A 14454-nucleotide genomic window follows, 5' to 3' on the forward strand; every position below is an offset into this window, starting at 1 on the left:
TGTGACCACCTTCTTCCCTTGGCTTCCTCCCTAGCTGGGATTTGTGGGCTGCACTCTCAGGTATCTTTACTTTTAATGCTTTGATCCTTCTCAGTTTCCTTGCATAGAAGCTTCCTCTTCTGTCACTCATGCCTTAAATCTTGGTTTAGGCCCCACAGCTCAGCCTTTTCTTTTCACTCAAGATGTTACTCGTTTTCTTAGACTCGGGAACCACTGTAGGCCACCAGGCTGGACCACCAGGTTGAGAATGAAATCACCCATTCTTTAGTCATTTCCCCACTCCCTGTCTATTCTTTCCTTATTACCCTCCTCCCCATATGTTCTTTTCTTTTCACTGTTTATAAAATTAATATTTAAATTTTTTATTACAGATAGTTCAAGTTACATAGAAACAGAAAGCGTAATATGCCTTCTTTTAAAATCTTCTAGTTTCAAAAATAAGCAACATTCTACCCCCAGTTTCAAAAATAAGCAGCCTTATTTCCTCCATTCCCATTTTCTTCCTGAGGTATTTTAATGAGAATCACAGATGTCATATCATTTCACCCACAAATTCTCTGACAGATAAGGACTTTTTCTAAACATAACTAAAACCCAACATCTCACCCAACAAAGTTAAAATTATTCCTCCTTCAAATATCATCTAAGAGCTAATCAGTGTTAAATCTGCCCAATTTTCAACAACTAAAACACCCTCCAACAACAACAACAACAACAAAAAGAAGGAGAATGGAAATAGAATACAAAAAAGAAATTGTTTTCAGTTTTCATAACTAGCAGTATAGTGTTAGCATTGTGGCACTTCTGAGAATACTGTGTGTATAATGTGGAAGAAAGCAAATAAGTACCTATGAAGTATTCTATCACCCCGTTGTGTTTGAGGACTAGAATTTTGTGTCAAATAAAGGAGATAAAGATGTTATATAGAAAAGGTTAAGTTAAAACCTTATAAACTGAATTTGAATCACAAAGTATCAGAATGAACTCATGAAGTATTTTATAAATATTTAATTCCTGGTTCGGTCCACTAAACGGGCCTAGAAATAAGGACCCACTCAGTAGCAGTGAGCATCCCTGGTGCCCAGATTGTGGTGTTAATATAACATATGCCACTAAAAGAAAAACAAATTGAATTGAACCATGTGGATGCAATCACCAAAATCTAGCAAGAAAGAAGCTGGAGGTCAAATGGCCAGGTTCTTCAACAGAGAAACTGTAAGGGAAAGAAAGGGCTGGAGGGGGAAACCCCAGGTTTAAGAGACTTACAAAACATAAAGAGATAATACGAGACCAATCTGTAGGTCTGAACACCTGGTTGATGGACCCATTAAAAAAAAGGCAAGGAGGCAATTACTATAGTGTATATACTACATAATATACTATTTCTTGGCCTGCATGGTGATCACAAAAAAAATTCACCTTGTAATTAACTAAACTATGTATGCTTCTTTTCGTGTTTTATTTTACATTAAAAAAGGTAAAAAGGAAAGGACAAAAGCTGAATACATGTTGTTACAAATATATACACACATACACATACACTAAGCAAGTAACAAGCACTGTGCATCATATATACGCAAACAATTAGCCCAGGTTGGTACATTACAAATAAGTTTGTGCAATACACTTCTGAAATATCAACTCTTCCTTATCTTCAAACTGAAGAAATTGTTTTTACAAGTTCCAAGTTTATTTTTAATAGAATAGCAAAATAAGTATGTTTCCTGGTCATAATCAGAAATCATGTATTAAAATAAAATTAACACATCATATAAAGTGGTCCTTCCTCCCACGTACTTCAATAAGTGTCATGGGTCAAAGGATATAGAAAGTCTAGGGTTCAGATCAGTGTTTTTCAAAGGAATTGTGCAACACTATTGTCAAATAAGAAAAATGAACATCATAAAGAGTGAACCTTCACTAATGAAGTCTATACATTTAACAAAATCCCAAAAATAATAGGTTTTCTTCATGGGGGGAGAGGGTGGTAACTGGGTATGATTCTTTTAAAGTTCCTATTTTTAAAACACAAACACACACACACAAGTAATAAAATTCTGTGAAATGGACTTAAAATGGGGAGACTTACCCCATGAAAAAGAAAAAAAAAAACTAAGCCTCAAAAGTTAAAACAATGCGATTCTGCTGCATGAATAGGCAGACAGATTAATGAAACTAAACGGTTATCCCAGAAATAGACCAAAATCTATATGGGAATTTATACTATAAAAGAAACCAAAGGAGAAAAGTTGGGACTGTTCAGTAAAATTGGAATGACTAGCCAATATGGCAGAGACTGCTAATTTTCCACTAAAATCCCTTCTTTCCTTCTTCTTGGGTACAAGGCGGCCAACACAGACTTCACTTTTCAGTCTGCATTGCGGCTAGATGTACCCATATAATGAAGTTCTCATCACTATAGTTTTCATCTGTAGTGATGTCTGCCGTTTCTGATCACTAGCCCTGGACTTTCTTCTTTGCCCTTCCCATGGAGAGGACCCAGATACAGCAGCAACTCAGATATGACCATGCAGATAATCACAGCAACAATTACTAGAACCACAGGACAGAAGGAACTCAAGCCTCTGAATGATCAGTGGATGTGGGAGGTTCTGCTGACCTGTTTTGCTTACACAGGGACTGTTAAGTGAAGAAAAAATAAACTTTTGTGTTCTTTGAACCATAGCATATTTCAGTCCCTTGGTTACAGCAATTCAACCTAACCCTAATTAATACAGCATCTAGAGAAAAATTCATTTGAATTCATACCTAATATTTCAGATGGATCAAAGACTTCAATCTAAAAAAACCCCACATGACATTAGAATGAACCAGGAGATAGTAAGTTTTTAAATCTAAAAATGAAAGGTCTTTTAACTACGATACTAGGATGTTGATCATTTCCTCCAATGTAAGTAAGAATGTAACTTCCGCTGTGGAGCAAGAATTAGGGTCTGTTTTTTACATTACTGTATAGCCTGGTGCTTAGAACAAGTTCTCATACACAAGAGGCATTCAATAAATAATTGTTGCTTGAATAAATTGGTGATTTTAACTATATAAAATTTGTAATAACCTGCACAACAAAGTAATAATTATTTCTATACAAATGGCCAACGGAGAAAAATATAAATAGCACATATCACAAGGATAAAAAGGGGGGACCAATAATTTTGATGTCATATTTTGATAATAAAAATCATAACCAAACAGCAAAATAGACAACGAACACAAGCATAGAAAGATAACTAGAAATAAAAGTGGCTTTTAAACTTATGAAAAGATGCTCAATCTCAATCAAACTAAGAAAAATGCAAATTAAAGCACATTAAACTGCCATTTTTTACCTATTGCTTTGGCAAATAAATAAAATAATCACTTGGGAGTCATACTTGACAGGCAAGGGCATGAGAAAACTGTTCTCACCCATCGTTGTTAAATCTAAAATCTGTCAAGGTCTATAAACAGAGCAACTTGGCAATAAATTTCTACCAAAATTATAATGTGTATAACCTTTGACCCAGCAATTCTACTAGAAATGGATCCCATAGATACACTCACACGTTTGAAATGATGTATATTCAAAGTTATTCCCTATAGCTTTGTTCACGATAATAAAAACTGGAAATGATCTATATACCCATCAATATTGTTAAGTAAATGACAGCACATCTCTACAATGGAATACCAGGTATTTACTAAAAATGAATGCGCCCGACACGGTGGGTCACACCTGTAATCCCAGCACTTTGGGAGGCCGAGGTGGGTGGACCACCTGAGGTCAGGAGATCGTGACCATCCTGGCTAACACGGTGAAACCCTGTCTCTACTGAAAATACAAAAAATTAGCAGGGCGTGGTGGCGGGCACCTGTAGGTAGTCCCAGCTAATTGGGAGGCTGAGGCAGGAGAATGTCGTGAACCCAGGAGGCAGAGCTTGCAGTGAGCCAAGATGGCGCCACTGCACTCCAGCCTGGGCAACAGAGCAAGACTCCGTCTCAAAAAAATAAATAAATAAAAAGAATGCAGCGCTACTATGGAAGAACTTCCAAGAAATATTATTTCAATAAGAAAACGTATAAAACCGTGGATACTGTTACCATGTGTGTAAAAGAAAAATTGTAATATATGCATGTATATTATATGCATGTATATTATATATACTCTGAAATCACTGAAAGAATACACAAGAAAATGGTAATACAGTGGCTGTTTCTAGAAGGGCCACTGGGTACTTGGGAGACAGAAAAGGGAGACTTAGTTTTCACTCTACACTCTTTTGTGCCTTTTTAATCTTGTATACATTAATTACATTACCTTTCTAAAAATAAATACTTTATAAAATAAGAAAAATACAAATATTCATTGCCAACACCAGATACCGGAAAACTTCTCTGGTGACTCTCACTGTTAACCACATTAGGAAACTACTGAGCTGAACAATTTTAACCCTGTTTCATAATTAAGAATCACAGGGGTAGCAATTAACTACAGCCATCATCTCCTTCTCCCTCAAATAAACATATACACAAAATAAAGTCTGTCTCCTAATTCCATTTCTGTTATTCATTACTTCCTCTTAAAACTAATTCAACCTCACACCACCTTAAATGGGCATAGAAGTGTCTCAAAATGCTCAAAGGATGGTAGCCAGAACTAACAACTATGCTAATATATTAACAGCCTCCAAAAAATAAAAATTTCACAAAACTGACACCTTGGCAGCAGCCCCAAGCCGTGCATCGTCTGCCTTGGAAAATAAAAACATACATCCTTAGTGACCAAAAGTCCAATGTCAACAGTCATGGCCTTGGTTTTGTCCCTAATGTGAAAGGTCTCCCGCCTACCCCCTTTAAATTATGAACTAACCTCTCACTTGAGGACTGGTGATTATTACAGTATAGCCATTTAAGGGACACTAGGCAGGCATTACTCACCCTGAGATTAAATTCTGCTTAAAAGGAAAAATATCCACAATATACCAAGTCAAGCCAAAAAGCAAGTTGTAAAATAGAATGTATGGTCATGTTCCACCAATTTTTAACATAATTAATATGCATATTTGTTTGTATATAAAAATATCTGTATAAGAAAAGGTTTGTAAATGGGAAAGTTTGTATTCCAAGATTTTAGCCAAAGGTGAAAGAGAGAAGGGAAGAACTTTTATCTCTATATATGGCTATACTTTATACTGTTTCGTATTATCTGAAATGAAATAATCAAAATTAACTTTTACATAAAATATAAAGCTATGGGGGGCTAAGGCAGAAGGAATACTTGAGGCCAGCAGTTCAACACCAGCCTGGGCAACATAGTGAGACTCTGTCTCCAAAAAAAAAAACAAACGACAAAAAAAAAAATAGCCAGGCGTGGTTGTGTACATCTATAGTCCTAGTTACTTGGGAGGCTGAGGCAGGAGGATCCCTTGAGCCCAGGAGTTTGAGGCTGCAGCGTGCCATGATTGCATCACTGCTCTCCAGCCTAGGCAACAGAGTGAGACCCTGCCTCAAAATAGTAATAATAATAATAATAATAATAAGGCTGTTTTATAATAATACATTGGACTTTCCTTTAAAAAGAATGCACCTAACAGCCACATCAGAGACTTTCCTCAAAAGCGTTAAATCTAAGGAGGCTGCACAGACCAACCCTGGCAGAATTTAATCCCCAATCCCTTGCTTCTGTCTCCACATACATGGTTCAAACCATATCTGAGCAACTCAAATGTTAAATTCAGAAAGACACACACATCAACATTTTGCACTTCAGGCTTCCCCTCACAAAACATCTTACTGACTCTATTCCAAGTAGGTATTCATATTACCCCCATAACTTATCATACTCTTAAAAGCATTTCATCCTGGATAGCGAGACATTTTTTTTTTTTTTGATACAAGGTCTTGTTCTGTTGCCCAGTCTGGGCTGCAGTGGTGCAATCACGGCTCATTGAAGCCTCAACTTCCCAGATTCAAGTAATCCATGTGCCTCAGCCTCTCAAGTAGCTGGGAATACACGAACCTGCCAACACACCTGGCTAATTTTTTTTTTCTTTTTTGTAGAGACGGAGTCTCACTATGTTTTCCAGGCTGGTCTCAAACTCCTGGGCATAACCAATCTTCCTACTTTGGCCTCCCAAAGCACTGGGATTAGAGGCATGAGCCACCATGCCTGGCTCAAGGCTTCTTTATGCTTTCAAAGCACTCCACGGGAAATGTATTATTAAAATGTAGTTCTGGAAAAGGTAAATGCAAGGACACAGCAAAAAGCCCAGTGATTGCCAAGGGCTAGTGGGGATGGGAAATGAATAGGTAGAACACGGAGATCTTTAGGGCACTGAAACTACTCTCTATAATATTATAATGGTAGATGCATGTCATTACTCATTTGTCCAAACCCACAGAATGTACAACACCAAGACTGAGCCTAATGTAAACTATTGCCTTTGGGTGATAATGATATGTCGAAGTAGGTTCATTGATTGTAGTACATGTACTACTCTGGTGTGGGATATTGACAGTAGGGGAGGTGTTGGGGAGATAGATGAGAACTCTTTCTATTTTCTGCTCAATTTTGCTGTGAACCTAAAACTGCTCTAAAAGAAATAAGGTCTATTTTAAAAGAAAAAATTAGGGCCGGGCACAGTGGCTCACACCTGTAATCCCATCACGTTGGGAGGCCAAGGCAGGTGGATCACAAGGTCAGGAGTTCGAGACCAGCCTGGCCAATATGGTGAAACCCCGTCTCTACTAATAATACAAAAAAAATTAGCTGGCTGTGGCGGCACACACCTGTAGTCCCAGCTACTCAAGAGGCTGAGGCAGGAGAATTGCGTGACCCTGGGAGGTGGAGGTTGCAGTGAACCGAGATCACACCACTGCACTCCAGCCTAGGTGACAGAACGAGACTCCGTCTCAAAAAAAAAAAAAACAAAAGAAAAGAAAAACTTAATGTAGTGGCCCTGTAAGGTGAAAAGGATGGCAGGGGCATTTTATAGGCAGGGAAACACTGGTAGTATTTATTTGAAAAACTTGGCCAAATTTAAAGAATAGCTGTGCAGATCCACCCAACAAAGCCTACTATGAAGGCAACGCCAGAACTAAGAACTATTAGGCTGGTCCTAACTTTCTTATATTGGATTCATATAAAAAAACAAAATAATCATTTGTGGCAAAGAATTTACCCTGTAGATTTGATCTCTGCCAAAGAGTATTAAAAGAAGTGATTTGTTGAAGTGGCTGCACTGCTGGTTCTGGCAATGCCGTTCTGAGAGCTCCTGGGTAAAGCTTACTCAGCTACCTTAATGCAGGCTCTTGGTCACATCTGCCCACAGTCCTTCAAGCCGCGTGCCCTCGTTCAGAGCTTCTCTCACTCTGGTCACTGGGGTACTCGGAGAGTAGAAGAGGCGTTCCTGGGATTATGAGTTCTCCAGCAGCTCTCACTTTGGCAGTGTGACGCTTACCAATGCTCCAGGCTGCAGAGGGAAAGAAGAAAGAAAACCAGCTAAGCAGAAGAAAATCCTGCAGTTGTGAATGTGGTGGCTAAAGGAAGTGCACATTTGGCACGCCTTTCAATTAGGACCACAAAACAAAGCTGATCTACAAGTGCAGCAAGTACAGAAAAGTTTGAAAACACTGATAGGAAGAGTGTGGAGGTTATGGATCTGTACTGGTCTTTAAATATTTTTCTAAACACAAAAACCAGTAAGATCGGCCGGGCGCGGTGGCTCACGCCTGTAATCCCAGCACTTTGGGAGGCCGAGGCGGGCGGATCACGAGGTCAGGAGATCGAGACCATCCCGGCTAAAACGGTGAAACCCCGTCTCTACTAAAAATACAAAAAATTAGCCGGGCGTAGTGGCGGGCGCCTGTAGTCCCAGCTACTTGGGAGGCTGAGGCAGGAGAATGGCGTGAACCCGGGAGGTGGAGCTTGCAGTGAGCCGAGATCCCGCCACTGCACTCCAGCCTGGGTGACAGAGCGAGACTCCGTCTCAAAAAAAAAAAAAAAAAAAAAAAAAACCAGTAAGATCTGCAGTCAGCACATTTCAAAATCAAGTTCTTTTAAAGCCTATACACTATGTACTCTAGCCCTTTCCTCTCTTTCCCTTGCCACACACAAAATCAAACAAAAATTTTGACCCTGCATGTACTATTGTGTGCATTTGAGGGAGGCGGATCATGAGGTCAGGAGTTCAAGACCAGTCTGGCCAATATAGTGAAACCCCGTCTGTACTAAAAATACAAAATTAGCTGGGTATGGTGGCGTATTCCTGTAATCCCAGCTAGTCGGGAGGCTGAAGCAGGAGAATCGCTTGAACCTGAGAGGCGGAGGTTACGGTGAGCCGAGATCACGGTGAGCCGAGATCACGCCATTCCACTCCAGCCTGGACAACAAGAGCGAAACTCTGTCTCAAAAAAAAAAAAAAAAAAAGTTTGAGCAGTACAAACTACAGAATGAAAAGTCTTTCTCCCGTTCCAAGATCCCTGGCCCCTCCTAGAGGCATCCAGTATACCAGAGTAACCAATTTCTTGTATATCCACTCAAATATATCTGATTTTGGTCTATTTTCAAGCAACAATTCTCTGGCATAGACAGATCTGGTTCAAAGGCTCATAAAACAATGGTGGGGAAGGAGTACAAAGCGGAAGGGAAGAGGAGGGGAGGCTCTAGATAACTAATAAAAAACAAAAACCCACCCAGGCCCCATTTTCCTTTAGGAAGACTTGAAAAACATCAACATTTGCCAAAGGAAGAGGAAATTTTTATTAGAACCAAACTTTCCCATTCAAATAGTTAAGTAACACAAAACACTGAAGAACTTACTGCCTTCAGAAAACAGCGCCTTTTTTTTTAACCTCAAGGAACATTTTGCCAAGAAAACCTTCACGTAAATAAATCTAACCAGAAAACAAGCCCCAAATGCAGCATTCTGCAATAATTATGGGGAAAAATCTTCCCATCCACCTTGGAATTCGAGGGAAATGTTTTACAGATACTATCAAACCGTTCCTCACTTCAGCTTAAATTGAGGCTCACAATCTATTTGAAAAGAAAATCTAGACACGTAAGGCACAGTAAGAATAAGACATGTAAAACTATCTTCCATAGGGAGGTCAACCAGAAATTTGTCTTTTTCAGCAATCACTTAGCAAAGTGAAAGAGCAAAAATGCATTTCTAAAGTGGGCATCCTTAAAAACAAACTCGCACCCGCAAACCCTTGAGTTTCAGAACAAACTGCTGAAATACTGGTATTTTCCAAGATGCTGGGGCCAGGGAAATCTGGCAGATTCACACTAAAGCTGCTTTCCCCTCTGCCAAAGTCTAACCGCATTTTAAGAGGAGGCCAGTGTTCAGCTGTCCTGCCTAGGGTCAACCATGTCTTTAAGTGAGAGTTACTGTACTGGTAGGAAGAGGTTTAGATAAGCCAGAAAATAAACACTGGTATATATTTTTCTGATTCTCTTTTTAAAAATCAGAGACTCTCTCTCTTTTTTTTTTTTTCTCATTATAAAGGTGCTACTAATTTGCCATCCAACATCCCAGCCCCATCATCTTCACTGCATGGAACTCCTTCTCATCCTTCAAGACAGTGTTTGGGTTCTCCTGCCTCTGTCCAGTCTTCTCTAAAGATTCTTATATTTCCCAGATCTTTCTAATTCCCCTGGTATTTATATTCTATATGACGAACAACCTAGCACTTAATTCTCTGCCATGCACTGGGTTTCTCGAAACCAATTCAAAACTAGGTAAAGATCACATATTATTCTTCACTGTTTGGCCCTCTTTCACGATACTTAGCATATACTTGGTACTCAAGAGTTAACTAGATAAAAATTAAATCTCCAAGTTAAATATAATTTAACATTTGTTTTAAAATTCATTGGACTCTCAAATAAACCATGGACTGAAATCAAAACTGTGGTGTACTATAAGAAAGACAAGGTTGGTAAAATGGGAAATAACGTGAACTGGATACTTAACTCTTCAAATGTTCTACTTGGCACCCATCTCCCCACAAATACCCTTCTATCAATAGGCAAGCTCGGCACACCTGAAAGGTAGCTAAAAACTGTTGTGTTCAAAATCCCAAGAGGGACTGAAAATATAAAAACCAACTCCCCAAAAAGATATACACACTAATTAAAATCAGTGCTATTGTTCAGGGGCTGTGGCTCATGCCTGTAATCCCAGCACTTTGAGAGGCCGAGGTGGGTGGACCACCTGAGGTCCAGAGTTCAAGACCAGCCTGGCTGACATGGTGAAACCCTGTCTCTACCAAAAATACAAAATTAGCCTGGCGTGGTGGCAGGCACCTGTAATCCTAGCTACTCGGGAGTCTGAGGCACGAGACTCGCTTGAACCCGGAAGGTGGAGGCTGCAGTGAGCCAAGATCAGCGCCACTGCACTCCAGCCTGGGGAACAGAGGGAGAATTTGTCTAAAAAAAATAAAAAATAAAAAAATAAAATAAAAAAATCAGTGCCATGAAATGAATATCTATATAGTAAACTCTAGCAAATTTTCAAAAACCATTCATTGAGCTGAGTTTTTTTCCAAAAATTTAGCCAACTTATTTGGCGATGGAGTTTCAATTCTTGGCAGCTAATCAAGCTGTGTAAAAGTCTGACCCTAAAGGGTCAAAGACACATTCCTGTGCAGGTGGTTGGAGGATGGCCATGAAGAAGGAGAAGGAAAATCCAATCAAATTTTCTAACTCTAATTTTGGGCATTTAACATTACAGTACAGTTTTCTTCAATCCAGTTTAAAAGAACATGCATAGTTTCTTAAAAGTTGTTGCAATATGATGGGACCTGAGTAACAGGCAAGCATAAAAAGCACTTAAAATCAAACAAGCTCTTGGCAGTCCACACAACAGCTAAGCAACAGGGGAAAAAAAAAATCAAGACAAGTTTTCTCAGCTCTTTAGTTACAATCATATCCTTGGCTTCTAGAAACTGTGGCTTCTAAACATTGAAAATCCTTACCCTTTCAAGAACCATTCCATACTCTCCCTGTCTGTTCACCCAGCCCATAAACCAAATAAATCAAGGTGTATCTTGCCGTGGAATTGCCATTAACCAGAACTACTTCAGAAAGCAGGATATGGTAGCAAGAACATGGACTTAGGAAGCAGCCAAACTCAGTTTTCCAACCTATTAAATGTGACCTCCGCAAATCATTTAACCCCTGAGTTTCAGTTTCCTTTTCCATGAAATGGGGTAAATACTCCCCATCTAGTTACTAATTATAGCAGCTATCATTTAGTGAGCTCTTAGTTCTATAACTGTGTTAACCACATTACTTGCATTGTCTGACCTAATCCTAACAATGAAATTGAGAGCTTATACTATTCCCAAATTATACATAAGAAAATGTGAATGACCATGAGAAATGGGAATTTCCAGGAATTTCTCCAGAATATATTCTTCTTAAAATACTTGCATTCTTTACTCATTATTTGGATATCCAAAAACATTGTTAAATGGGAACTATCACACTTAGTAGGATTTACAAAGAATTGTAGCATAGCAAATACTAAGATCCTGGAAAATGCTAGTGAACATTATTGGATGTTATGCCAGTAGCGGGCAAAATCCAGCCCACAGTCTGGATTTGTAAATAAAAGTTTTATTGCAACAGGCACACTTGTTCATTTTAAGTATAGTCTATGACTGCTTTCACACTGAAATGGTAGAACTGATAGTTGTAACAGAGTCCGTATGGCTTGCAAAACCGAAAATATTTACTACCTGGCCCTTTAGAAAGAGACTTTGTTGACCACTGCAATAACCTACATTCAGATCTACAAGCAAATTAACAGTACTACACAGATTCGTATGTTGAAGTCACCAATTTAAAGACTCAGTTTACTTCTAAAACTTATTTCTTGCAATACCAAGCGTAGGATATGTATACAGTATGCTATGCATATAAACTTATTTTATTTGCAAGGATGACACATCAATGGTAGTAGCAGATTGGGCCACAAAGACACATTTCTAACATGGCAACGGCGAGAAGAAATCATGACCCATTCTCTCCCACATGCTCCTATCCTGCACTGGCTCCAAAAAAGGTGGATCTTATCCTTCAACTCTGCAAGTCAGCTTTTCCTGTTCTTGCTTTCAACTTGACATCAGTGAATTCTTTCTACTGTCATTGTGTTGACTCATACAATTCTCACAGGAGGATTATAACACTTTTTCCCATTTACCTCATAAGTGATTTTTCTAGGGATTTGGAAAAACATATATATTTCCCAAGAAATCCTGAGAAGGAATTCTGTGACAGAAACACTGTTCTCTCCAGGTGTATATCTAGAGACAGAGTAGGAATCAAATATGTCAGACTTCTAGATAATGAAGAAAAAAAAGCCGGGGAACGAGGGCAGAGCATGAGGAAAAACAAAATCTCCAAGATGTTTTAAGGAAAAGATTCAGGTCTGCCTTACAGCCTAGAAAGACAACCAGGCCAAAGTGGAAATACAGTGAAGATGGGCTTTCCTAATGTTTTGGCCGAAATATTAGAGCACCTTTCTCCTCCAGAATTTAAAGTACAATTTGGCTAAGACAAAAGGGGCCCGCTATGGTTTACTTAATTACAGAGTGTAATTAAGTACCAGACTACACGTTTGAAGATAATCTGCCTACACTCCGTAACCTCGAAACCCTCAAGTGAAGTGGTTTGGTGGTCCATCAAAATCCCTTTCATCTGTCCAGCCAAAGATTCATTTACTCCTGCCAGAAATATAAAGTAAGGGAATCAAGGAGAAAACTTGAGGCAACAAAGGCAGTGAGTGGGCTACAGTAGCATAAAGAAGGTTCCATGCTTGAACCAACAGGTTCTGAGATGGGTCCCAGCCCTGGCCCATGTAATCTTTTCCTGCAAAACAGGCGTCATGACTCCCTTGCAGAGCTGCCACGTATGAAGTACATGGCACTCAGTGGATGCTAATAAATGGTAGCTAATGTTGTAAACTCAATATTTAAGGAGCAGCTATAAGAAGAGAAGTGACGATTACCAGGGTTGAATTATTAGGTTGAATCCTATGCAAAATTGCTGAGATTTGACCATTTTGACTCATCAAAATAGCAATTTAGGGCCAGGCACAGTGGCTTATGCCTGTAATCCCTGCACACTGGAAGGCCAAGATAGGAGGATTGCTTGAGCCCAGGAGTTGGAGACCAGCCTGGGGAATATGGCGAGACCCCATCTCTACAAAAAATTTAAAAATTAGCCTGGCATGGTGGTGCACACCTGTAGTCCCAGCTACTCAGGAGGCTGAGATGGGGGGACTGCTTCAGCCCAGGAGCTCGAGGCTACAGTGAGCCATGTTCATGCCACTGCACTCCAGCCTGGGCAACAGAGCAAGATCCTGTCAAAAAAGTAATAATAATAATAAGCAACTTTGAAATAAATATTACAAAGGGCTCCATAGGAAGCCTGAAAAGAGAACATGAAAGACTAATAGCCCAATACTCATTCTTCCACTGGTGGTGACTTAGAAAAAATCCAGACACCAAACAGGAAGGCTACAGACTAAAATAGAATACCCCCTTAAGTCAACTTCTCACCAGATATGAGGTGTGACTTCAGAGAAGATCAGATTCCACAAAAGACAGACACACATGCACTCCTCACTCATAAGTAACCCATGTCACTCACTCCTTTCTCTTTTTTTTTTTTGAGACAGAGTCTCACTCTCTCAACCAGGCTGGAGTGCAGTGGCACAATCTCCACTCACTGCAATCTCCACCTCCCAGGTTCAAGTGACTCTCCTGCCTCAGCCTCCTGAGTATCTGGGATTACAGGCGTATGCCACCACGCCTGGCTAATTTTTGGTGGAGATGGGGTTTTGCCATGTTGGCCAGGCTGGTCTCGAACTCCTGACCTCAAGTGATCTGCCCACCTCAGTCTCTCAAAGTGCTGAGATTACAGGAGTGAGAGATTACCACGCCCAGCCACTCCTTTCTCTCTCTCTTCTTTATTCCTGCTCTCTCCCTTTTCTATCCTTATTTCTTTCCCTATGCAAGGCCCACTGAAATCTTTGATTAACTAGTTTAGGAAGGAAATAAACACAGCCTTTCTGGTTAACTGATGTTACCAATTACACAGGAGGCCTTTCTATAAGCCTTTTAGAGCAGCTAGTAGCTCAATATAGACATCCAATGGATCCATCACACTTTCCCCCTATTTTTCTAATTCTCCTTCATTTTTTTCAAGTTCCATCAGCCTTTACCCAGTTAACAGGTCTGTGGTGGTTCCATGGAGTCAAATCAATTCCTGAGTGAGAAATGAGTTTCATGACAACTCATCAGGCCAGGGGTCCCCAACCCCCAGGCTGTGGACGGGTACTGGTCCATGGCCTGTTAGGAACCCGGCCGCACAGCAGAGGTAAGGGGCTGGCAAGTGAGCATTAGGCCTGAGCTCTGCCTCCTATCAGATCAGATCAGTGGCAG

At 39.9% G+C, this 14454-nt stretch overlaps 1 protein-coding gene across 7 annotated transcripts in view; it reads right to left on the minus strand.

The window, feature by feature from the left end:
* The window catches only part of ACVR1 (activin A receptor type 1), a 139885-nt gene that overhangs the window by 74645 nt on the left and 50786 nt on the right, over nucleotides 1-14454 (minus strand). For 6 of the 7 annotated variants that reach the window (NM_001111067.4, NM_001347664.1, NM_001347666.1 and 3 more), the window contains one exon: nucleotides 7295-7469. The gene's annotated coding sequence lies outside the window, so the exon portion shown is untranslated. Of the gene's footprint in view, nucleotides 1-7294; nucleotides 7470-8312; nucleotides 8400-14454 lie in introns of all 7 variants that reach the window. The other variant, NM_001347665.1, reaches the window with a different exon arrangement.

Source organism: Homo sapiens, chromosome 2, assembly GCF_000001405.40.
Source record: "Homo sapiens chromosome 2, GRCh38.p14 Primary Assembly".
Classification (NCBI taxonomy): domain Eukaryota; kingdom Metazoa; phylum Chordata; class Mammalia; order Primates; family Hominidae; genus Homo; species Homo sapiens.